This window comes from Homo sapiens, chromosome 9 (genome assembly GCF_000001405.40).
Source record: "Homo sapiens chromosome 9, GRCh38.p14 Primary Assembly".
NCBI lineage: Eukaryota > Metazoa > Chordata > Mammalia > Primates > Hominidae > Homo > Homo sapiens.
Window position 1 is genome coordinate 93,891,157 of NC_000009.12, and position 24,995 is coordinate 93,916,151.

The following is a 24,995-nucleotide window of genomic DNA, read 5'->3' on the forward strand; positions in this document are numbered from 1 at the left end:
CTCTGTGAAAGTGAACTTGCCCAGTGAAACATCAGGTGTGATGAGACACACAAACATGAAGATGACTGTCATGAGGAAGAAGTTTTCATACAGATCCCTGGAAACAGGAGGCAGGGCAGGCTGTGCAGGGCCACACGGAGAAGTACCAGGTTGGTCAGGAGGCAGAGGGAGCACAGGGGAAACATGGACTCGAGTCTTCACTGGGGTTTCTGCTGGAAGAAATGGGTAAGTCCGGGTCAGCAGGCTGAGGATTGGCTGGTTTGAATCATTTCAGTGGGCTCTAGGGTACAGGGGCTGTCCCTGGCTGTCTGGTACCTGCCCTGGGGTGAGGGCAGGTGGATGGTGGCCCAGAGTGCAAGGGCCCCAGAGAGGAGGTGGTGGGTGTGGGCTCTGGGTGGATTGGTCTGCATTGGAAGGGTGTGATCACAGAAATTTGCTAGCCCAGGTAGGGGCAGTGCAGTCCTCCAGCGTCAGCAAGGGTCAGATGTCAAAGCACCAGAACACAGAAAAGACAGGCCTGGTTAAGAGCACACAAGGGCCCATCCCAGCTGCAAAGCTAACTTTGGACTTTACACTTGGCAGGTACCAGCTTCTTCCTAGCTTCCTGACCTGACTCTGAGCTTCTGTGGGGTGGAGCCAGAGGAGGCTTCTGAGTCCTGCAGACCTCCCTGTGGGTCACTGTGGCTGACAGGTGCCAGACTGGGAGGGGTCTTGAGTGTCAAGTTAAAGGAGTTTGAACTTTATGCTGGAGGTGATGAACAGGGAGCCCTGGAAGATCCCTGAGCTGAGGAAGAACTTGATCGGGTCTCTGAATCAGGGTAATGAATCTGGCCACGGTGAAGGATATGAATTGGCACAAGTAACAGTGAGCTACTGCAGCATAACAAACCACCTCAAAATCCAGGAAGCATTCATCATTGCTCTTAGCTATGCCCACAGCTGGGTAGTTGGTTTGGGCTGGGCTAGGCTGGGCTGACTCAGGCATTGGAGGAAATTGTTGCCCACCCAGCTCATTTTGGCTGGCCTTTCACATATCCCATAGCTGGCTGGCGGGAGGCTGGTCCATGATGGCCTTAGCTAGTGTGGCTCCCCTCTGTTCCATGTGACTCTCATCCTCCAGCTGGCTAGTCCAGGCTTGTCTGCACCTTGTGTCAAGGTACCCAAAGAGAGGAGGGATGTGTGCCTGTCCTCTGAGGCTCAAGCTTGGAACCAGTGACTTCTAGCTCCACTGTGTTCTGTCACCACAAAAGTCAAGAGGCTGGCTGGGATTCATGGAGCAGGGGATCAACTTGACCTCTTCTTGGGAGGAACTGAAAGTCAGATTGCAGAGGATTGGACACAGGAAGGCTGCTAGGAACTGAATGTTTGTGTCCCCCCATATTCAAATGTTGAAATCCTAATCCCCAGTGGGATGGTATTAGGATGTGGGGCTTTTGGGAGATACTTAAGTCATGGGGGGGTGGAACTGAAACTGAACCAATAGTCGTATAATCATATAGACAGTGATATATATATACATGTACAGAAATTGACCTTTCAGGTCTTAAAGCTTGAAACTTACATTTGTTTTAACTGAGTTCCTTCCTCAGTGAAGAACTCTCAGGCCTTTCAAAAAAAAAGTATCAAAGAACTGAAACTCATCCAGACAATGAGACGCCAGGCCCTTCATTCATCATAATTGCTTCCTTACCCCTCCCTAGTTCCTGGTTTTTTTATGTGTTATTACATTGCTTCCCTGCTATATAAACCTCTAATTTTAGCTGGCCAGGGAGACGGATTTGAGATGGAGCTCCCATCTGCCCAGCTGCAGCACCCGATTAAAGCCTTCTTCCTTGGCAATACTTGCTGTCTCAGTGATTGGCTTTCTGAGAGAAGCAGGACGTAGACTGAACCCCTGGTGTTTCCATAACAGAGCCCTTGTAATGGGATTAGTGTCCTTATTAGAAGAGACACCAAAAACTTGCTTCTTCTCTGCACTCAGCCATGTGAAGATACAATGAGAGGAAGGCTGTCGGCACACCAGGAAAAGAGCCCTCACCAGACACTGGATCTGCCAGCACCTTGATCTTGAACTTTCAGCCTCCAGAACATTGAGAAGTGAATGCCTGTTGTTTAAACCATCCAGCCTATGATACTTTGTTATAGCAGATCCAGTTGAAACAGAGGTCTAAAGAGTTGGGACCATTCTCTGCAATCAATCTAGCACAGGGGTTGACAAATCTGGCCTGCTTCCTGTTTTTGTAAATAAAGTTTTATTGGGACATAGCCATACCCATTTTATTACATATCACCTATGGCTGCCTTTACACTACCAAAGCAGAACTGAGTGACTGACAGAGCCTCTGTGAGCTGCAAAGCCTAAATACTTTTTATTTGGCCATTTACAGAAAAAGTTTGCTGGCCCTGATCTAGCACAAGATGAGGAAAATTGAAGGCCCAGAGATATTTTGGGAGGCAGCCAGACTCACCAGGGATGACCCAGACCAGGCTCAGCCCAGAGGCACTGGGACAGGCACTGAAATGGGTTAAGAAGCAGAAGCAGTGGAGTTCAAACCCCAGCACCCCCATCCTTCCTCACCGTGTGGTTCTGAGTGGGCCACCTCACCACCCAGCCTCAGCTTCAGGCTTGGAAAATGGTCAGAATTACAGCCACCTGGGGGTTTTCGAGGATTCAGAAAGAACATCCGTAAACACCCTTCCCAGAGCCTGGCACAGGTGAGGGCTCAGCAGAGAGGAGCCTGGCTTCCCAAAGCCCCATCAGGGTCTCCAGAGCAGCCCTGGCTGGCAGACAGGGGTCCCCTCCCACCTCCCTCCCGCTCTGCTGGGAGGACGCATTCCTGCAGCTGCGCATCTGCGGGCAGATCTGCTTCCCTATCTGTGTTCTGCTAATAAGGAGAAAACACACTTGGCGAGGTTAGACAAACAGCCAGGGAGTGATTGACACAGCCCCAGCCTCAGCCAAGCCTCTCCTGCCTGCACTTTGAGCTCCTGAGAAAATATCGTGTGTGTCCAGGCTCTTCCCCGTGCAGCGAGCTGTTTGCTTTCCATTAGCCTCAGATTGTGCCCTTTAGTCACACCACGTCCATCAGCACTGGAAAGGGAGGAGCCCGATCTCAGCACACCCTGGGCCACATCGGTGCTGGCTCACATTTTCCCCTTTACTGTGGGGCATCCCAGCTGGTCTCAAAGTGTCCCTGGGTACCCTGGCCCTGGCCTATCCCACCCACCCAGTGCTGCCTCGAGCTGCTCTGCCAGGGGATCCCCCGTTTAGGCTCTGAGCCCAGGTGCCTCCTGGGCCACCTTGGCAGCTGAGTTGAGTTGGGCTGGGCCTGGGTTTGAACAGCTTCCTGGGTAGGTCTCCATGCAGTCAGGCTGGGAAGGCCGGGCCTGGGACCTTGCCTTCCAAAGTGGGCAGGAGCCTCTGGGATGGACTGTTTCACCCAAGCGAGGCACAGATCCTCCTATGAAACACCTCCATGTGCAGAGGGACCTGGGGCCCAGGGGCTGATGAAACTGCAAGGGAGCACTAGTTTCTGCTCAGGAAGTCCACAGCACCCACTTGGTTTCTAAATTGGGTCTGCCCTGTGTCTGGGGTCTGACCTGGGCCTTCTCTGTGCATCCACATGGGGCCAGGGCCGGCGCTTGGCAGCTGAGTCAGTTGCCAAGGTGTGCAGCCTGGCAGGTGCTCTCACCTGTCAGGTGGGCTGACTGCTCCCACTGAGACAGGAGGAAGGGCCCAGCCTCAGCCTGGTCCCAGAGTGGTCTCAGCAGGAATGAACAGGCTGAGAACCCCGCCCCCTTCCTGCATCTCCCTGCTTCTCCCTGCAGGGCTCCCCTCACTTCTCCGCCTGCTTCCACCTTGGGGACAGTTGCTTCAGTCTCAGACCATAGCTTTTTAATGCCACATCAACACCGACCAGGCGGCTGCATCTGGGCTATTCATGATCATTTCCTAGATGTTTTTGAAGGTAATAGTTCGCAAAGCAGGGAACAGGGTTCAAGAATGATAAAAGAGTGGGTAGGAAAAGAGGTTTCAGAATCTAAAATCTTGCCTTCCAGAGTTGACAGGGACCTCTGAGATGGAGTGGTTTTCCCAGGCAAGGCACAGATCCCCCTGTGAAACACCTCCATGTGCAGATGGAGAAACTGAGGCTCAGCTTGGGAAGGTCCGCTGCCAAAGCCCCAGAAGATGGCTCAGGATTCCCACCCAGGCCCGTCTGAGCTCAAGGCACCACCCCCTCCATCCTCTACCCCAATCCACAGAATGATTTTCAGCTTTGTGGCCCGTAATTTGGAAATCTGGTCATTTTGTGTCTTTCCTGGGCTCCTGTCCCCTCTCCGTGTGCTCATGGAGCACATGGAGCACTCATTTGCTGGGTGTGCTGGATAAGCCACAGCTTGCTAGGGCCTCGGTTTCCCCATCTGTCCATGGGAATCTGAATGCCAGCCTGGTGGAGGCCTTGAGCCACCTGAGAAGGGCCCTGAGAGGTGCTGGTGGCTGCAGATGCCTGGGTGCCCAGGCTGCGCCCACTTGCCCTTTGAGGCCTCAGGCCTGAGGGCCATGTGCTGCCTGCCTCCCCAGGGTCTGCCTCTCTCCTCCATTCACAGGAGGGGAAATTACCCATTAATGAGAGAGAATTACAAACGCAGCATCTGGCCCACCGCCCAAGGTCCCTGGGCGAGTAGGGAGGGAGCAATGGTGCTGGAAGGGGAATTGGAAACAAATGCACGGGGGTGTTTTCTTTGGTGGACCCGAAGTCCCCTCCCTACGCTGCTCCCCGCCACTGTCCCAAATTTGGACTTTTACGGAAACAGATTTCATGCCTGGGCTTCCCATGAACTCTCTTAATTCAATTGAGAGGCCATTATCGGCACTGGGAGTAATGGGCTGTTTCCGCAGCCTGGAGGAGACCGAGGGGATGGGTGCACCTCTCCTCTGCAGGTGGGAGAAGACCGGGCTGAAGGCCCTACCCTGGTCAAGTCAGGCCGTGAGAGCTAGGTGCCCAGAGGGGTTGGAGGGTGAGGCTCAATGTGATTCCTTCGGTGGTGGAGGCCGGAGTGGGAGGCAGCAGTCCTGCTGGAAGCAAGAGGCAAAGGAACCCCAGATCCCACAGGTTCCTGAGAGGATGAGGCTGGTCCTGCCTCCTGAGAGGGAGTGCTGGGCCACAGCATGTGCCACCCAGTGGTCCTGCGCCAAGGGCACCAGGTGCCCCTAGTGGCCCTTGAGGGATTGGTGGAGGCAGCATCAGGGCCTGGGTTGGGAGGAGCCCTCAGCAGAGGTGCCGGGGTCCCTCTGCCAGGAATCACCCTGCCCATTCTGTTCCTTCCCCTGGATTCTCCCCCCACAACACGTTGCAGGACCCCTCCTGCTCATTCTCTGGTCAGAAGCCCCACAGCTCTCATGGCACCCACGACTGTTAGTGGCCCTGTCCCCCCTCCAGTCTGAGGGCTCTGGGAGTACAGAACCAGCACGAGGCCTGGAACAACACAGGGTACAGGTGGAGGCGGCTAGAGAGAGGCCCTGGAAGGTGGGCCCAGGTGCCTCCCGCCCCAACTCCGGGCCATGGCTCCTCCCAGCAGAGGGGCTCAGCTGTCCGGCAGGGCCTGCAGAGTGAACTGGGAGACGGGTCAGCCCCTCAACCTCTCCCCAGGCCTCATCTATCATAGTGTCCTAGGGATGCCCCTGGCACCAGCCTCAGCAGGCCGGGCACCTGCACTGTGAGGGCAGGTGAGCCAATATCAGCAATGGGCTCTGCTCTGCAGAATGGGATCATAGTCCCACAGGTGGGAACTGGTGGGAGGAATGCATGGCCCCACCCCAGGAGAGGGCCAAGGCCTAGGAAGAGGAGGCTCAGGGGCTTGAGGCCCTGCAGAGCCACCTCCCCGTCCCAGCTGGCCTTTTCCACCCCTCAGGAGGCACTTGCCTCTGGGTCTCAAGGCAGGAGCCTGGTGAATTCAGTGGCTGGTAGGCAGTTGCAGCCTCAGAAAGCAAAGCCTTTGGGGGCCTTTACTTTCCCTTTTGTTCTGAACAGGATTCAGAGCTGAGGCCCCAGACAGCAGAGTGCAATGCCCAGGGCCCTCGAGGTGAGCTGTGCAGGAGTAGAGGTGAAGGGCAGCCCCGGCCCTAGTCCACACCAGACAGGTGCTGAAGGGGATGGAGGCTAACCCAGTGTCTCCAAGTTCTCTGTTCCCTGGGAACATCTCTGGTTTTCTACACAAAATGGCTTGAGTGCCACCAAGCCCCCACATCTCCCAGCCTTGTTGGCCTCAGGTGGGCCATGGAACAATGGCCATGGGCAGAAGGGATGGGTGTCACTTCCAGGCTGGGGCAGGCAGGGGCCAGACTACATCTTCAGCTATTTCTTCCTCTGAGCTGGTGCCCAAGGGGCCATGTGGTACAGCTACAGAATGTGGAGCTGCCTGAGCCCGGGCCCCCAAGGGGCTGCGTGAGGAGCAATTCCCCAACTGACCACTGCATGAGAAATAAGCCTTTGTGGTGTCAAGCCTGAAAATGAGGTTGGTTGTTTCTGTGTCCAAGTACTGGTTTGGCACCAGAAATGGGGTGGCAACTAAAGCCAGCAAGAGTTTGTGGCACTGGTATAGTGTTTGCACACAAAGTGGGGTGCATCCCATGTCAGAGGCTGGAAGGATGAAGACCCACATGGCCACTAGAACTTACCGAGTGACCGTGTGGCTTTGAGAGAAGAGATGGGAGGAACAGACATCAGGAGTTGGGGTGCCGGCTGCCATTGGCTGCAACTATCAAAAGATGACAGGACAGACAGGTGCTGAGGAGAGAAACTCGTCAGATTGCAAGCTGAACAGGAAAGGAGGAGAGGGTCCAGAAACTTGCCAGAGGTTAGAGAACCAAAGTGCTGCTTCTCAACTCCAAATATAGATGATGAACTGAAAAGGCCTTTGAGGGACAAATGCCTCCTAAAATCTTGCAACCCATCACATTGCCTTGGGCACGATGGGACTGAAGGTGCATCTGATTCAGGGTCTTTGAGGCTGATAGCCTCAAGGTGGCCTTCTCTAAGACAGAGGGGTGGGGAGGGAGTGAGGGAGGGTGGAGATTCGTTTCCTAGAGCTGCCAGCACAAAGCACCTCAGGCCTTGTTGTGCTGGGTTAGGCCCCACCCTAGTGACTTCCTGTAAGTGTAGTCACCTCTTTAAAGACCCTGTCTCCAAATCAGATTGCATTCTGAGGTACCATGGGAGAATCTGGGAGGACACAATGGAGCCTATCACAGAGGGAGAATAAGGGGGAAGAGAGACTAGAGGCAGGGGGAAGAGAGACTAGAGGCAGAGGGAAGGGGAGAGGGAAAGGCACACGTCTCGGGGCGAAAGCAGAGACATACAGCAGAGACTGAAATTAGGCCTCAGAAAGCACTGCGGCCATCACAGCGGTCTGCTGGGAGCTCTGACTTCCTGTCGAAGACAACCTGAGCATGGTCAGGGCGTAAAACAAGCCCTGGGCTCCTGTCTGTCTCCAGGCTGGAAGTGGCTGACAGGGCTACGTGGCACCCAGAGACAGCCCAGTCCCCACCGCCCACGATATGAATGGCCAGTGAGGTGATGGTGATAGGAGACTCTTCTAGGGGAAGAAGGAGGGGCCAGAGCAAACCGTGGACCAGAGAGCCGTGCCCAGAGAGCAGGAGCAGCTGCTCGTGGCTCGTTTCCCACCCAGAGCGGGGGCCCTGGCAGCACAGGGTGTAGGAGGCGGCTTCCCCCATGGGGAAGAACTTGGTGGCACCACTGTCACACAACAGGTTGAGGGGCTCCTGTCTGCAGAGGTGCTCTCTTGCTTGGGGCTGACAGCCCTTCCCTGGACCACCACAGTCTCCTATGGGAAGGAATGGGTGGCCTGAAGTTCTGAAGGACTGTGCATTTCCTAAGAACCTGCGGCTCTAGGTTTCCATTGTTCCAGGGTCCTGAGAGTGAAGAGTCTATGTCCTGAGGTCCTACCTTTCTAGGACTTGGAGGTGTGCTGGTCAATAGCCAGTACAGCAATGAGAGGGGCTGAGCAGAGCCAGGCTGGGGGAGGAGGCCTTGGGCCCATGTCCGGCTCTGGCCCCAGAATCACTGGGAATGGGCAGTCCCTGGAACAGCCTCCACCAGGAAAAGTAGGGGCGGTTCCAACACAACCCCTGGGGAAGGCAGCCAAGGCAGGCAGAACTTCAAATGCTTTGGGGTTATTTTATTTTATTTTACATAAGTGGAGGCAAAAATTGGTTTCTCGTGTGGTCTTAAGCTTTCCAAGTCATAACATCACTCCCAGCTCCTCCTGAAGGGAAGAGGCAGAGGCGGTGGGGGCTCCAGCTCCCCTCCTCATACAGAGCCACCTCCAGGCAGAGCAGCAGCAGTCTCCCCACTTGTTCACCCCTCAGGGAAGGGATGCCCTTTGTGCAAACCCCTCCTGGGCCACTCACTCCCCGTGTTACCTTGCCAGGTTACCCAGCCTCTCCACATCTCAGTCTCCCAGTTTGCAAAACAGTCTGGTAGCGCCTTTCACAGGGGCTTCTATGCCTAAGACCATCTAGGGGCCGTGAGTCTCACAACAGCCCAGGGAGTCAGGCCTCTTACCTGGGGAGCCCTGGCTGGGGCTGGCTTCCTCTTGGTGGGACCTTGGAGGCAGCCTTTCCCTCCCATATAGCCCAGCCCACTCAAGGCAGGAGACCTGCTGGCCCAGTCTAGGGGGCCGGGGTGTACCCTTTGCTGCCTGAGCCTCCTTTCTCAGGGCCCTGAGCCATGGTCTCCCTTCCCTCCTCTACCCCTACCAGCCCCACATCACTCAGCCTCCATTTACCCTGAAGGGGAGGCTCCCAGGATGAGCACCCAAATGCTTCTGACTGGTCTCACTGCCCTACTCCCTTCCCTTCCCCTCCATCAGCCCAGACACCAGAGGAGAATTCCCAAACCCCAGCATGACCACACCCTCATCCTGCTCAAGTCCTTCACAGCTCCCTAGTACCCCCAGGACAAAGTCACCCAGGGCCCTCCGAGGTCCTGCCCCAGCTCAGCCTTGCAGACTCCTCTCCCTCCACTGCCCTCCCAACATGTCACCACGTCCCCGAAGGCCCATGCCTTCCTTTCCACCTTCCTTCCTGCCTCAGCCCCAGGCATCCCTGTGGAGCCTCCTGACCTCCAACCTGCCACCCCCAACCTCCCAGAGCTGCCTGTGCGGCACCTCCTAGGCTTTCTTTCCCTCACAGTTTGTGGTTGTTGACAAGCCGTAGCAGTTAGCTCCTGCTGTGTAACAAGTTACCCCAGCACTTTGTGGCTGAAATCCACAAGTCTACTTTTGCTCATGAGTCTACTGGTCAGCCAGTTCTTCTAGTCTCCACTGACCTTGCTGGACCCATCTGTGGGTCAGATGGCATTTGGCCTGGAGCTGGCCTCTGTATTCATTTTCCATTGCTGCATAAAACTACCACATATTTAGCCACTTTAAACACCACCGTCAGTCAGCGCACAGGTCCGCAGCTCAGAAGCCTGGCCTGGCATGTCTGGGTTCACTTCTCAGGGTCTCACAAGGCTGAATTGAGGTGCCAGCCAGGCTGAGTCCTCATCTGGAGGCTCTGGGGAAAAATCCGCTTCCCAGCTCATCCTTATTGGCAGAATTAAGTTCCTTGAGGTGAGAGGACCGAGGTCCTCATTTCCTCCTTGCCCTCAGCTCCTAGTGGCCTCCCCCAGCCCTGGCTGTGTGGCTCCCTCCGTCTTCAAAACCAGCAATGGAGACTTCCTCAGATGAAATTCTTCTCATGCTTTTGATCCCTGGCTGCCTGTCTCTGATGTCTAGACTGGATTGAAAGGGCTCTCCTGAGTAGGTTAGGCCCACCTGGGTCAGCTCCCTGTCAATTAAGGTCACCTGACTGGGACCTTGATGGCATCTGCAAACTCCCTTCACAGCAGCAACTGAGGAGTGTTTGAAGGACTAGGGCAAGGCATGTGTCTGCTGGAGGCTTGGAATCGAGGGATTCATAGAACCCTGACCCACCAACCTTGTTCTGTGCTGGCGTCGGCTGGCCATTTGCTAGAGCAAGGGAAGAGATGGGCCCTATCTTTCTCCACCTGGCAGATGTCTGATGGCAGAGGCTGTTCCAAGAGAAAAGCAAATTAGCAGCGTCAGGGGGCCTGGTCATCCAGCAGAGGGCATGGCCCTGGGAGTCACCTCCCTGGACTGCAGAGCTTGCCTGTGTGTGTCCTCCACTCCAGGCCCAGGGGCAGCTAATGAAGGCTCAGGGAGATGGGGCTGGGTGTGTCTTGCCTTCCTTGCAACCCGGTCAGTGGATCCTGTGACCACCCCCAGAACAGCAGTCTCCACCCAGGAGCATGCTGGGGTCACTTGTCCTGCCATCTCCTCTTCCCAGGTGCCCAGCAGGAGAGAGGCAGCCACACGCCTGTGTCTGGCCATCAGGATGCGGAAGTGAAGGGCACAGCCCCAAGCCTGCCTCAGTGTTCACGTGCCAGATGATGGGGACCTGAGGGAGGGCAGAGACTCGATGGGGATGGAGACTGGCCTCAATGGTCTGTGTCGCAAACCGTGACAGGCCCCCAAAGGATGCACCTACGCCCATGGCTCAGCCCAGCTTGGAATCAGGTGAGGCTGGTCACAGGCTCCCTGGAGATCCAGGAGGCACCATGAGAGAGGGAGGCACCCGCCCCCCAGTGTGCCCTGGGGGTGGGGGTGATATTCTTCAGTGGCGAGGGATGCTGAGGCCAATGCTGAGATCATTTCAGGAGACTGGCCACAGAGGAGATAAGGAAGCAGGGAAGAGGAGAAAGAAGAGGTGCCGAAGAGGATGAAGGGCCGGGGGATTGAAGAGGCAGGGGCTGGGTGGGTGTTAACCTGTCAAGCACCCACTGGTCTCAGACACTTCCTGGGCACAATCCTCTGTCCTCCCACCATGGTCCAGAGAAGAAGGACAACCATCCCCACTTGACAGAGGACCCTGAGACAAGAGAGCTCCTGGGCCCAGGCCAGGGACGAGCAAGCGTTCTTGCTGTCATCGTGAGCTGTTCAGGCCTCCCACAGGTGGTGGCTCATCCCGAGGTGCCTCCCGCCGCAGCCCACTTAGTCTCTAGGCTCTTGAGGCTGGAGAGGAATCTCTCCCCATTGTGGGCTAAAATTCATCTGTTAAAGGTTGACCCAGGCTCTGTCCCAATCCCATGGGGAGGACACATCCTCCGGGCTGGTTGGACAGACATTCAGGGCACCAGCCAATGACATGCCTCAAAGCCCCTCCCAACCAGGACAGCCCTAGCCCACCTTGCCCAGTCCCTCAGCCCCTCAAGGAGCCCCTCGAAGGCTCCACTCTTTCTTGGACAGTTTTGATTCTAACATCTCAGCGCCTGCAGGTCCATGGGGCCTCCTCATCTCTGTCCCAAGAGGCCCACCGGGTGCTGATGCAGGCCGACCCCAGAGCCCAAGGTGGGAGGGAAGGTGAGCTCTCAAGCTGTTCCTCCTGGTGCCCCTCCATAGAGTCCCTGCATCACCTCCCACTGGGGAACCTCCACCAGCCTCCATTTCACAAGCATCTGTGGGCATCTAGTGGCTGGGCTGCCTCAGTTTGCTCATCTGCAAAATGAAGGTAGTGCTGCCTGCCTGGGAGACTTCCAGAAGAAATGAGGGGTGGCAGGTTGGTGCAGGTGGGTGTACACTTCCCCAGGGTTGGGGCCCTGGGTTCAGATCCCCACCCTGCCAGCTTCTTGCTGGGTGACTTTAGCACAAGGAACAGGATAGCGGGGGCTGCAGAGCTGCAGGGAAGAGAGCAGTCTGAGAGTGCTCGGGGTCCAGGGACCATCCTGGGACAGAGCCCAGCGGCTGGGTGGCCCCGCAAAGACAGACGCCCACCTATCACTGCAGCTCAGAGCCAAGCCCTTCCCACTGGCTCAGGGTAGCAGTAGCCCCAGTGAGGATCCACCCAAGGCTCTGTCAGGCCTGTCATTCAGGCCTAATCCCGGCTCATTGTCCGCCTGCCAGTGGGGCTTTTGGCTGCCACCTGCCCCGCACAGGGTGTTGTCACAGAAGAATGTGGCAGGTGGGGGTAGGTGGGGGCCATCCTGGAGGGGGTCTGTCCCCACCCAGGCAGGCAGAGGGCTTTGGGAAGACAATGGGCAGCTGCCTGGGGACTCTCCCTGGGCTGCTGCCATAACCCCATCTTCGGGTGACAGGGGCTCCTGAGGTCAGGGATTTGCAAGTCTCAGACTTCCAGAGCTTTGTTTTAGTGACTTGCGCTGCCTGGCTCATGGCAGGGCTGGTTACACATCAGGTGCATGAAACATACAGCAGGGGTATCAATGCCCCAAAATGGGCTGCAGAACCTAGGCTTCTGGGGAGCAGCCCTGGCTCATGCAATTCCTAAGGCTGCGTGGCAAAATGAGGCCAAGATGGGAGTGTGGAGCCCACAGCAGGAGCTGGGCCCCTCCTCAGGCTGCCATGAGTTTCTCCGAGCCTGTTTCTCCATCTCTGAAGCAACTTTGATCCTCCCCAACTGTCCTTCCAACCTGCCCAGGGACAAGATGCCCCTCACCCTGCAGGAAGTCCCCAGCAGCTTCCTAAATCTCCTCTGACCACTCTTGGTCATTAGAAGTCCTTTAACCTCAAATCTCTCATTTCTGTAGTACCCCACCCTCTCTGGCCTGTGCTTAGCAGGAAACGGACAGGACTGGCCTTTGCGGAGGGAGGGACAGAAGCAGTAACCGGCTCCAGGGTGGCTGCGTGCCCTGGGCCTGGTGACATTTGAAGCTGATGCTGTTTCTTGGGACACCTGTGGTTCTCTGGGGACATCTCTCCTTCTGTCCCCTCTCCCTGAAAGGCCTCACCTCCAGTGGCTTCCTGGGACACCCTCCCGTGTCTGCTCTGTGACGAGGCCCCAGGCAGCACCCTTTCTAGCATGGCAGCTTGTACCCACCGGGCACACGGTGGTGTCCCTCACAAACAGAGGGTAAACAAGATGTTCTGGCAGCACAACAGAGACTCCACACCCAGCCCCTCTCCTGGAGGCTCCCGGGGGCATCATGGGTCTTCCTGCAGCAGACATCAATGCCTGCACCCTGGTCACTGGCCTCCCTTTTACCCACCAACGGCTCTTTCCTTACAAGGCGTTCAGCAGCCCATGGGTCAGAACATTCTCCCGCCAGGAGTGTGCCTGGCAGGTATGAGGCACACCTCATACCTGGGAGTTACGGCCCCAGGGAGTTACCTCCAACTCATGCCCCATGGAAGGTGCTGATGGCTCCAGGCACCCTCATTCTGGCTGGGGTGACAGATCTGGGCTCTCCAGGTCTCCCCAGCCCTGCAGCAGGGCTGAGCCCCAGCAACCACAGCAGTGACCCCCATTGCTGTCTCACTTCCCTACTCCCTTCTCTACTCAAGTGCTCATCACTGGGAGGTGAGGGGCCGGTGAAATTGGCCTCACCACCCTCTTTGCAAGTCCTCCACATGGAATGTGGGGCAGTTGGCCCCACTTGTCCTGCCCTTGCCCCTTGAAGTCTCAATAGAAACATGAGCAAAAAGATCCTTTCGATGCACCACGGCCCATGTACCGAGCTAAGCACATGACTGTGCACAGTGCAAGTGCTGGGTGGCGGGGATGCAGGAGGACAGCAGGGTTCTGACAATACCCTGGGGGTGCTTGAGGTGAGGGTCCACCCAGTCCTGCTTGGCTCACAGGCCTGGGTCCTGGAGCCTACCCCACAGAGGACCCTGAGCCCCCACCTGCTGGGAGGATGGGCAGAGAGACAGGTTGGTGTTTCTCCCGATGCCCCCCTGGCTTTGGGGGGATGTGGCAGTGGCTCCCTGCTCAAGGCTACAGCATCACAGGCTTCGCCCTCTGTCCTTTAGGCTGGGGCTTGGCCCACAACCCACACCACCTCCTTGTTGGCTCCTAACCTGCCACACATCTTAGGAGGCCCTTTATGAAAGAGAAGACCCCAGCAGACATATAGCCTTTGCCCTACGGACCTGGTGGGCAGAGGCCCGTCTCTGGGTCTGTCCTGGCCCTGCCCCAACTCACTCTGAGCTCGTTGACAAGTCACTCGGCCTGCCTCCCTTCTTCAGGCCTCAGTTTCCCCACCTATGAATGTCAAAAACATCTACGGAAAGGGCTTGGAAAGTGGGAGTTCCCAGAACATACCTGAGGTCCTGAGGTCAGAGGGGTTTGTCGCTAGCACTGGGAAGGGCCCTCCTTTCCTGCAACACCTTCTTCTGCACCCAGCCCAGTGCCCCTGGCCACAAGCTGGGGTCTTTCCTCTGTAAGACTCAGAGGGAAACAGAGTCACTGGCACTGCCCAGGAAGTCACCCCAAAGACCCGACTTCCTGTTATGGGCCTGGCCAGGCAGCCAGTAGCACCTGCTTGTGCACTGAATTGGAGCCCAGCCTGGGTGTGGGGAAAGGAAATGACATTTCTTGGGCACCTTCTATGTGCTCGATGTGCTGGAGTAATGTGTGTGCACTGCTGCATTGACAGCAAGCCCGGGAAGAGCATGTTGTCCCTGTGGCCATTTCACAGATCAGGATGCTGAGGCTGGAGAGGTCAAGGGCAGAGTGAGAGGCAAGGCCTGGACAAGAACCTGTGCCTGTCAGCTTTGTTCTCCCTGGCACTCCCACCCTAATGAAGGCAGGAAAGGGATCCCTTCCTGCTTTGCAACCTGCATCCCACTTCCCAGACCCCACTCCCCAGACCCCACTCCCCAGACCCCACTCCTCTCACTGTCCCCAGACTCAGCTCTCACTGCTAGAGTCCCATCAGCCCTTCTCCTGGGCAGCGTGGCGGGCAGATTCTGAGATGGCCCGAGGATGCTCCTCCCCGACGCCAGCGTCCCTTCTGTGGAGTTTGAGGACCAGTGAGCACGGTGGGAAGTCTCTCCCACAGCAAAACACCATTGCCTCCTTCTGCTCAGAACAACATGGCCTCAGGGTATATGATGGAGTCTTCCTCTTAGAATATCAGATACTGTTAGAATCTCAGCCTTCTGCACCTCTCCAAGGGGGAAGCCACGGCTCAGAGAGGGGAAGTAGCTGCCCAACAGCAAGCCATTGTCCCTAGAAAAACACCCAGGAGGCTCAGAAAGAATGAAGAATGTTAATTGCAGCCTTGTTTTTGTAGCAAAACCCTAGACCCACCTAACTGTGTCTCCATCAATAGAGGTGTGACTGAGTGAAGGAGGAAGCTGCAGGGCCGTGAGGAGGCGGGAGGCCCTCTGCGTGTTTGGGCAGGATGGGCCTTGGAGATGCAGGCACGGTGGGGCCCAGAGCAGGGTTCCACGAAGGCCTTTGACAGCCCGGCAAATCCTGAGACAAATAAACCAAGCCTGAGAAGACATTTTTGAGACAACTAGGGAAATTTGGAGGCTGAATGGGCATTAGATAATCTTAAGGAACGCTTGCTGACTTTGGTGAGAGTGCTGATGGAATGGTGTTATTTAAGAAAAGGGGAGCCCAGCCCGTGGAGGCAGACACACCCTGAGACACTTGCCAGGGAGTTGGGGATGCCTGGGTTTGGGGGAGGGGCTCAGAGGAGCCAAGATTGGCTGTGAGCGGGTGACAGGTGGGGCTGGGCTGTGAGGACGTGGGGTTCTTTGACTATTTTGTCTATGGAAAATTTTGACAAAATGAGTTAAGCACCATAATGCAATAGTACATATTTTCTACACACACACACATGCATGTAAATAAAGGCATTTTTTTTTAATGCCTGAAGGGATGTGTTCCAAACAGATAAAGTGTTCAATTCTGGAGGTAAGGCAGGGACTTGGGAGGGGGTGGCATCCACAGGGACATTAATCTTAACTTGTAAGGTTTTAATTTTTTCAAGAGCTATTGCCTGCAGGTTTTACTTACACACTTGAAGGCTGCCCCCTGCCCTGCTGTGGTGTGAATATGTGCCACAAAATTCACGTGCTGAAACTTAATGGCCAATGTGACAGTGTAAAGAGGTGGGGACTTTTAAGAGTGACTAAATCACAAGGGAAGACCCCTCATGGATGGGACCAGGGCTCTTCTAAAAAGACTGGGGGAGTGGGTTTGCTCCCTCTGACTCTTCTACCATGTGAGGATACAGCAAGAAGGCCCTTACCAGACACCAGTGCTGGCATGTTGATTTTGGACTTCCCAGCCTCCAGAACTATAAGAAATAAATTTCTGTTGTGTATAAACTACCCAACCTCAGGTATTTTGCTATAGCAGCGTCAATGGACTGAGACATGCCCCAAACAAAAAAAATGTAAGAGAAAGGAAAAGGCTGACACCGTGGGTTTCAATGCAGGCTTGAGAGCCAGGTGTCTCAATAGCCATGTCTGCACATTTTCAGTCCTTGTAGTGAACAAGAGGAATCTTGGGCTGGCCAGAATCCATAACACCTTGTTCTGGAAACAGCACCCAGCTTTCTTTCTTTAAAAAAACAAAAAATAAAGATGGGGTCTTGCTATGTTGCCCAGGCTGGTCTCAAACTCCTGGGCTCAAGTGGTCCTCCCACCTCAACCTCCCAATGTGTCCAGCTTTCTTTCCAAGGTTCCCTGTTCCCTTGGAGACAATCAGCTGGGACTGCTGCTCCGCGGCCTGCCCTCCCCTTGTCTAGAGGTAGGCATGCAGCCAAAGGCTCCACCCTCTCCTGAAATCCCTCCACAGTGCAAAGGTGCAAGGACTGGTCCCAGCAGGAGCTGACTCCTTCCTAAAAGGTCCCCAACAGAGGGTTCTGTGCAGCCTACAGAAACAAACCCAGCATCATGACTGGGGTCCAAGGTCAAGGGCCCAAATTCCCACTCTACCACTCACCAGCTGTGCAACCTCCAGCCAGCTGTTCACCCTCTTTGTGCCTCAGTTTTCATATCTGTACAATGGGCTATGGTACCTGCTGGCAGGGCTGCAAAGAGGATTCAATGAAACTGTATGTGCATGTGCTTAGCATGGTGTCCAGCACACAGTGAGCGCTCTGTGAACCTTAGCTGATGTTGTTGCAGTTGCTAACATTATTACCATCACCTCTGCCTTCAAGGTCTTATGAGGCGGACCCTACGGTCTCTCAAAATCCAAAACTCTAGCCTCCCCATAACCTTCCAGTTCATTCCCTTCTTGCTGTTGCTGTCAACCAGGCTGTCCTGGCTGTCACAGCTCACAGCACTGCACAGAGATGCCCAATAGGAAACTGACAGGAGCAGCAGAGGTGTGTGGCTGGAGCAAGGCAGGCAGGGGGGTAGGTGGGTGGGTGGCATGGCCCAGGGTGTTCTCTCGGTGGCCCTCTCACACTTCAGGAATCCAGAGGGCCCTGAAGTGGGGGAGAGGGTCAGCCCCCAGAAGAGGGTAGTGGGTCTCCCAAGTTGTATGCACTACCCCACATATGCAGAGGCCAAGGATGAGGCTAGAGTATATTATGCTGTGGGAAAGACTTTTGTTGAAATAAAGAAATGGAGACAGGATCTCACTATGTTGCCCAGACTGGTCTTGAACTCCTGCCTCAAGCAATCCTCCCACTCAGCCTCCCAAAGCGCCAGGATGCCCGGTCATCTTGCTAAGGAAATGAGACCATGCACAAGACAGGAAGGAACCTCACGGAGCACCTGCTATGGGCTAGCCCTGCACCGGGTGCTCTCCCTGCCAATGGCACCAAATATGAATGACAACTGCTGAAGTGGCAGCTGGTGCTCTGTGTGCACCTGCCACCTCAGTGCATCAGGTGCAGCAGGGACACATAGTGTCCCCATGTCATGGGTGAGCAAAGTGAAGCACAGTGAGTGCCCATGGTGGGGCCAGCGCTGGATGCAGGCAGCAGCTGGAGTGCAGCCCCTGATGGGCAGCCTGAGCAAAGAGGCTGGCAGAGGTCATCTGGCGCTAACAGACTGAGCCAGGGTGGGAGCCGGGAGCTGCTGAGCTGGTCCTGCCTCCTGCCTCTTCCAGCCACACTCCACCTCTGGTCACTCTGGGGGGACTGTGTCCCATTCCCTCAGCTTTAATTGAAAGAGTCAGGGGAAGCCGCAGCGAAGCCCAGCGCCATGGCTGCCGCCTGCCGGAGGCCCTCGGCAGCCGCAGAACCTGCAGTCATGCAAATGATTAATGTCAGCTCCGTGGAGGGCTGGGGCCACAGGAAATTGGAGTCGATGAATTTAAGAGAGAAACTCCTTGTTTAAACAGAACTACTTTAGAAAATAAATACTGCCGAGCTTGATGGTAAATACAGATATTTGTGCGGGATGGAGGTGGAAATATGAATTTAATAAAGCTGGCGGCACGTGGCCCTGCTCCGTGGGCCTCTGAATGTGTCCCAGTAGCTGGGAATGCAAAGCTGGGCAGCCTGGTGGCCAGTGCAGGCTTCACACTTACTTGCTCTGTGAGCTTGGCAGCTTTTGTTCCCTCCTGAGCCTCAGAGTGGTCCACACAGTCTCCAGGTGGGACTGTGGAGATAGCACCACCCCTGCCCCAACAGGTTCTCAGCCACCATGTAGCTCCCAAGCCACCACACAGCACAGCCATTCTGGGGACTGAGGCTTTGCTTGTGCTGCAGTTTCCCCTCCTAGCCATATCCTATGATCTCCTATGACCAACATGCCACCTTCTCCAGGAAGGCCTCCCTGGCATTGTGGCATTCCTGAGTGCCTATGTCCACACCCACCAGTTGCCCTTTGCTGTGGACCCACAGCCTCCCAAAACTGTTTTGGGCACAGCAGGCCTCCGGTGGGTTTCATCACTGCTGCTGGGTAGAGAATAAGATTGGAACTCCAGGAGCGGGGAACAGTCACCCAGGTTCATAGAAGAACCAAGAGGAACAGGGCCTGGTGGCTGCAGTGGTCTTGGGAAAAGCAGGGCCCAGGGATGACAACTGCCCAGCTCCTCAAAGTCCCTGAGGGCCCAGCACTGGCTGGATGGAGGTCTCTGCACCTCCTGCTTCCTGCCCTTCCTGTGACACTTATGAGCACCTTCTGTGTACTGAGACACAGAGACACAGACAAAAGGGAAACAGTCCCTGCCCTGGTGGGGGCTCAGATGTGGGCGTGGTAACCTGCAGGGAGAGATGTGTGCCCAGGCTGCGATCAGGCCAGGAGGAGTGGGGTGGCTGGTTTGCCTGGGGTAGCCGGGGAAGTTCCAGGGCAGAGGCCATGGGGAATGGTCGGTGATGGGAGAGAGGCAACTCCTTACAGCCCTGACTCCCAGTATGTGGCTGTCGCCCTGCCGCATGTGGGTGCTTCCTGTGATGCAGGTGGGGAGCTGGCTGTAGCGTGACCATGTGAGCAGTGTCAGCATCTCTGGGGGCCCCTCACACCCCAACCCAAGATGCAGCCGGTGGGCTGGGCAGGCATCTGGATCTCCTCATCTTCGAAGTGGGAACCTACTCAGGATGCTCAGAACAGAATGGCTGATGCCGCCCATAAAAACAGAGTCCCAGGGCCGTCCCCTGCGACATGCTTCAGAAGCCATTGGAAGGCCCCATAGACACAGGTCACACTGCAGGCTGCTGTCTGCCTCCTGACAGAGCCCCCGCACCACAGAAAGCCTCTGGCCGATATCACAGTGACTCTGGGTCTGACTGGGCCGGTGGAGACCCAAGAGGCAGGGTTGCTGGGGAGGGGCAGGGGCATTGGGCCCCACAAAGGCCAACTCCAGGCTTTCGCCAAGCCCCTTTCCTCCCTGCACACAGGGTATTGCGGGGGTGAAATGAAACACTGCGCAGGCTGGCCACAGGGTGGCAGGGGCTCACTCTGCCCCCAGCACACACTGTGCCCTTGAATCTCCTCAGTGCAGCCCTGAGAGGCAGGGGCTAGTGCTACCTCCACTTTTTGGGTGGGGAAACCAAGGCGCAGAGAGGGATAGAAATGGCTTAAGGCCTCATACAGCATGTGCTAACCCTGGGCTGTGGCCCAAAGTGGCCGGCTAGGGCCTGCAGAGAGGGGCTGCCTGGAGGCCAGCTCCCCATGCACCTCAGCCCCACCTGGCTCCATAGGGCTGGACAGACAGAGAGCTCTACCATTGTAGCTTGGCCAGGGTGAAGGGGTCCACTACACCCCCTCTCAGATAAACAGACTAAGTCCTCAAGGAATGTCTGGCCAGGGGACCACCCTGCCCGGAGTGTCTCAAGGCCTCCTGAGGGCTGACAAGACAGATGCCTGGAGATGCCTGCCCAGGCCTCGGGGCATACCCTCCACTCCAAGGAGCAGACGTCCCACTGAGAGCAGTGCACCCCAATATGGTCACGGGGGACAGGTTGCCAGTTATCGCCAGCAGCACCTGGCCCTGGGCAGACCCCGTGATGGGAAACAAGTCTCAGGAGCTGGGACGTTGATGTGTCCCACACGTGCCGGATGACAGTGATTTACACGGGCCTCCTAATCCCCCGCCGGGTACCCTGACTCACACGGCCTGGCACCCCTGCCCGCGCCCACAGGTGGACGGGCACTCACCGAGACGGCTGCACCACTGTTATTTTTTCATAAGCCTGCCTTGAAATTTGTCAAACCACATATTGTTCAAGCATTCGCCCGTCAGAAGAGCCTGCCGCCAGATGGGCTGGCTCCCCCTCCGACACTTGCTCCAGGCAGCACAGTTATACACAGAACTCAGCTTTATGTCGAGTCTTTTAAAGAGGGAAATAAAAAAAGAAGGAGGAGAAATTTTTTAGAAAGAAGAAAGAAATGAGTTGGATTCTGAATAGGCAAGACTATGACGGTGCACAAATCCTGGCTTGCCGGTGCCCTGGTTTTATACGAAAACTCGGGCCAGCGGTAAATAAAACTTCCCGCCTGTCAAACCGTTCATTAGCGAGGTGCACATAATTTATGTACTTAAGAGCTGCCTTCAGCCAAGCTATCACACGGCGAGCATGCTTCATAGGTGTTAGTGTTTATACGGACAGTAAATAAATGTCAAACACACACAAAATCCACTCTGAGGCGGGTGCTGACGTGGCCCCATCCATCATCCGCCCAGCTGGAGGCTCCAACCAGGTTGCCAGGGCCCATGGGCCGCCTGGCCTGGCAGCAGGGCTGGCGGGGGCGGAAAAGGCTTCGTGCAAGAAGGGAGAGGCTGTGGGGGTTTTCCCACCTGTTTGAAGGCAGCCAGGAGGCCCAGGCCAGGATGGGGCTGGGGCTGTTGCATTGAGATGGCCTGACCACCTCCTGGCCCCCGGATCTAGCTTCTCTCCTGAGCTGATCCTCATGAATCCAGGCCCAGGGCAGGCTCCCTGGGCTCCTCCGGGTGTGGGGGTTAAAAGGACCTCGTGTGTCCCAGCGCTGCCAAGCCCGCCAAGCCTGGAGCCACCTCAGAGGCCAGCACGGTCCGGGAGCTAATAATAGCAGCACCGTTTGCTGGGGCCAGGCAGGGGAGGGCGTTTCCATCCATCAGCTCACTGGCTCCTCATCCTGCCTACCAGGTAGGTCCTGTTTTTCAGAGTTTAGAGCTATTTTTAATAAGAACTTTCAAAAACTGTTTTTGCAATCCTTTTACATGGTTCACAATTCAAAATGTACAAGTGGCAAGCACTCACGGACGGGTCTCCTCCTCCCTCAGCCCCCACCACCGTCCTGTCCCAGAGGCAGGGTTTTCTGCAGTTTGGGGTGGGGATCATTGTGGGAGAGCATTTGCATAACAGCGTCCTGCCACTGTTCTGGCAAAGCTGTGACTTACCCACACAGCCCCGCCCCTGCCTTTCTCCCTGAGGGCCACACCTCAGCTCAGGCCTCCACAGACACAGAGGTTGCCCCAGCTTCCTCGAGGAGGGGGCACACCCTCCCAAGTCACTGCTCCTACACACCAACAACCAACCAGGGCTCTGATAGCCATGCTGGGGGGCTAATGTGGGTTGAATTATACCCCCCTAAATGTACTTGTTGAAGCCCTAACTCAAATACCTCTCCATGTGACTTTATTTGGAAACAGGTTGTTACAGAGGTAATTAGTTAAGATGAGGTCATAACGGAGTAGAGGGGCCCTAATCCAGCATGACTGTGTCCTTATAAAAAGGGGGAAATTGGCCGGGTGCGGTGACTCACGCCTGTAATCCCAGCACTTTGGGAGGCCGAGGTGGGCAAATCACGAGGACGGGAGATCGAGACCATCCTAGCTAACATGGTGAAACCCCGTCTCTACTAAAAATACAAAAAAAACAAAACAAACAAACAAACAAAAAAACAGTAGCCAGGTGTGGTGGTGGGTGCTTGTAGTCCCAGCTACTCGGGAGGCTGAGGCAGGAGAATGGCATGAACCCAGGAGGCGGAGCTTGCAGTGAGCCGACATCGTGCCCCTGCACTCCAGCCTGGGCAACAGAGCAAGACTCTGTCTCAAAAAAAAAAAAAAAAAAAAAAAAAAAAAAGCAGGGGGGAAGTTTGGAGACACACACAGGGACTGCACCATGTAAAGATGGAGGCAGACATTGGGTGATTCCCCTGCAAGCTGCAGAACGCTAAAGATTGCTGCCAAACACCAGAGCTAGAACAGCCAGCAGATTCTCTTTCACAACCTCAGAAGAAACCAACCCTGCTGCCACGTTGATCTTGGACCTCTGGCCTCCAGAACTGCGGGATGATAAACTTCTGCAATTTGAGCCACCACGTGTCTGGTGCTTGGTTATGCAGCCCTAGGAAGCTGATACGGGCCATTGAGGGTCTGGAGCACCCTGACCTTCATCACCAGAAACTCCCCAGTGAGAGATTGGGTGGGCCTGGGGTTGAATATGGGCCCCCTTCCCTGGTGCTCAGCAGTCACCTCACCTCTCTGGGCTCAGTCTGTTCATCCGCTCAACGGGACGAGTAACAGACCTGCCTCGGCTGCTTCAGCTGTTGATTGATAGAATCTCCCTAAAGGGCTGTAGCACTGTGCGTGACACACAGGAACCCTCAATGGAAGTCAATAGATGCTACTATTCAGGGACAGCTCAAGTATGGGGCAATAACTGAACCCATCACCAGGAGCAACTTGCTGCCGTGTGGTCTTGCGGGGGCACCACAGTGAGCCCCACCTCGGGGTGGCTCATCACACACAGTCCAGTGAACCAGAAGCTGCTGGGATGAAGCAAGAGCAGATCAGAATGACTCAGAGCCTGAGTCCAACCTCCTTGTTCTACAGGTGAGAAGGTCACCCCAGACAGGGAGAGGCTCAAGACCTCCAGCGAGTCTATGTCCCAGGCGGGCTTCCTCATTTAGCATCAGTGGCCACAGCCCGTGCTACCATTCCCTACCCATCTTCCCACAGGAAGACAGGCAATGCTGGGTCTTCCCACTGCAGGGCTCCTGTGGCCAGATGAGGCCCTTGGGAAGCCTGGCACTCATCTTGCCGGGCCATTGCATGGGTTAGCTGTGGCTGCAAAGATGCTATATAGCAAACAACTACAACAGCTCACATTTAGCACACCAAGCACACATTTAGCAATACGACAGAAGCATGGATTTGGCTCCACGCCTGTGATTCAGCTGAGGTTTGACTGAGGATGGGATGATGGAGACTGAACTCGATGGAGCAACCTGACTGCCTCAGGTCCTGGAACAACAGCCATGTGAGTGCCCCAAGGAGGCACATTCATCCTGGGGCAATATCAGATGTATACGAGGGAAGCAGTAGCGCAAACACACACTCTGAGCATCAAGGCCCTAGACCACAGCTGCATCCCACTTGTCCAAGCAGTGAAGGGTAGGGAATCCAACCTCCTTCCAGGAGCAATTGCAAAGGACACAGATACCAGGGAATGAGGAGCTGAGGCCATGAAAGGACTCGGCTTCAGCCCTCCTTCCATGGACCCACGCAGAGCACCATGAGCCAGAGGAGGGAAGTAGCACGCCGATTGTAATAGTCACCAGGGCACACTTTAGAAAAGTATAACTTGTCCATCATTTTGTAGCTATGGCTTCTTTGAGCACCGCAAAGTATAATCGGTCAGAACAAGGGCCACTGCAAGAATAATGTTAAATACATAAGATCCCGAGGCCCACAGCTCTGGCCAAGCCTGAAGGTGGTGCCCACAGGGCTGGAATTTGGAAAAACCTACCTAATCCATGCCATCTCCTGCCCAGAGAACATTTGTATTTTTAATAGGGACCTCCAAGGAAGAAACCAAAGGCATGACAGATGGTGATATTTCAGGCCCTATATGAAATGAGGTGAGGTGGGAGAGGCACCTCAAATCACTAGAGACAAAAGTAGCTTTGGAACACACAGATAAGGGCAAGCCTTGGCTAGTGTCAAGATTCAAGGAAAAACCACCCCAGAGCCCCAGCTCCCAGCATAATGAGGTTCACATCCATGGTATGGCAAGAGCTGCTGTGAAATCACCTAAGGGTCTTAGTTGACCACAAGCTGAAATGAAGACTTCACGGCTAAACAGAGATACGGTCTCAGGCTGCACAAAGAAAATTAGGTTTTCTCAGAAGCTGAGAGGGGTGGCACTTACACTCTAGCTGGAGAGAACTGCTATCCTCCTCCATCTCAAGAAATGTCCTCTGTTTCTTGCTCTACATTTTGTAAAGGACATTAACAAACCATCATTGGGCATTGGCAGTATTCAGTAAACAGCTCCTGTCCCAGGGATGGAGGGAGGTGGTTCAGAGATGAGACCAAAACCAGCAGGAAACAGTCATCTCAAGACCAGAGGGCAGAGCCGAGGTGACCCACCTGCGGACGAGCTGCTACAGGGCCCCTCTGGTCTGTAGTCCAGATCCATGCTCTTTCAGCCTAGAGACTCCAAGGATGGACCCAGGCCCATAGTGTCGTCGAGCTCTACTTTAAGGTGTCAGGAGCCCAGGTTCCAGAGAGGATACTCAGGCCAAGAGGGCGTGGGAGCCATAGAACTGGGTGCACAGTGATGATATCTTGGTGACAAGTGGCAGAAACCAAATGCAAACCAAAAATAAAGAGAAGCGCATTCGCTCAATTAAGTGGAGAGGCAGCAAGGGACGTGGCAGCAGAAAGCCCTGCCCACAGCTCACAGTGTGAGAGGTGCAGCCAGGGCACAGGCTGCCAGCTCCAGGTCAGAGAGTCCACCAGCAGGCGGGTCTCATTCCAGGAAGAGACTTGC

General features: G+C 55.4%; 4 annotated features.

The window, feature by feature from the left end:
* Positions 3,211 to 4,086: an enhancer, noted in NCBI's record as "H3K4me1 hESC enhancer chr9:96656649-96657524 (GRCh37/hg19 assembly coordinates)". NCBI's record gives its function as "activates a minimal SCP1, AML or CMV promoter by ChIP-STARR-seq in primed H9 embryonic stem cells {active_cell/tissue: H9 hESC(primed)}" and the evidence as "EXISTENCE:reporter gene assay evidence [ECO:0000049][PMID:30033119]".
* Positions 5,040 to 5,540: an enhancer, noted in NCBI's record as "H3K4me1 hESC enhancer chr9:96658478-96658978 (GRCh37/hg19 assembly coordinates)". NCBI's record gives its function as "activates a minimal SCP1, AML or CMV promoter by ChIP-STARR-seq in primed H9 embryonic stem cells {active_cell/tissue: H9 hESC(primed)}" and the evidence as "EXISTENCE:reporter gene assay evidence [ECO:0000049][PMID:30033119]".
* Positions 11,366 to 11,897: an enhancer, noted in NCBI's record as "H3K4me1 hESC enhancer chr9:96664804-96665335 (GRCh37/hg19 assembly coordinates)". NCBI's record gives its function as "activates a minimal SCP1, AML or CMV promoter by ChIP-STARR-seq in naive H9 embryonic stem cells {active_cell/tissue: H9 hESC(naive)}" and the evidence as "EXISTENCE:reporter gene assay evidence [ECO:0000049][PMID:30033119]".
* Positions 17,374 to 18,066: an enhancer, noted in NCBI's record as "H3K4me1 hESC enhancer chr9:96670812-96671504 (GRCh37/hg19 assembly coordinates)". NCBI's record gives its function as "activates a minimal SCP1, AML or CMV promoter by ChIP-STARR-seq in naive H9 embryonic stem cells {active_cell/tissue: H9 hESC(naive)}" and the evidence as "EXISTENCE:reporter gene assay evidence [ECO:0000049][PMID:30033119]".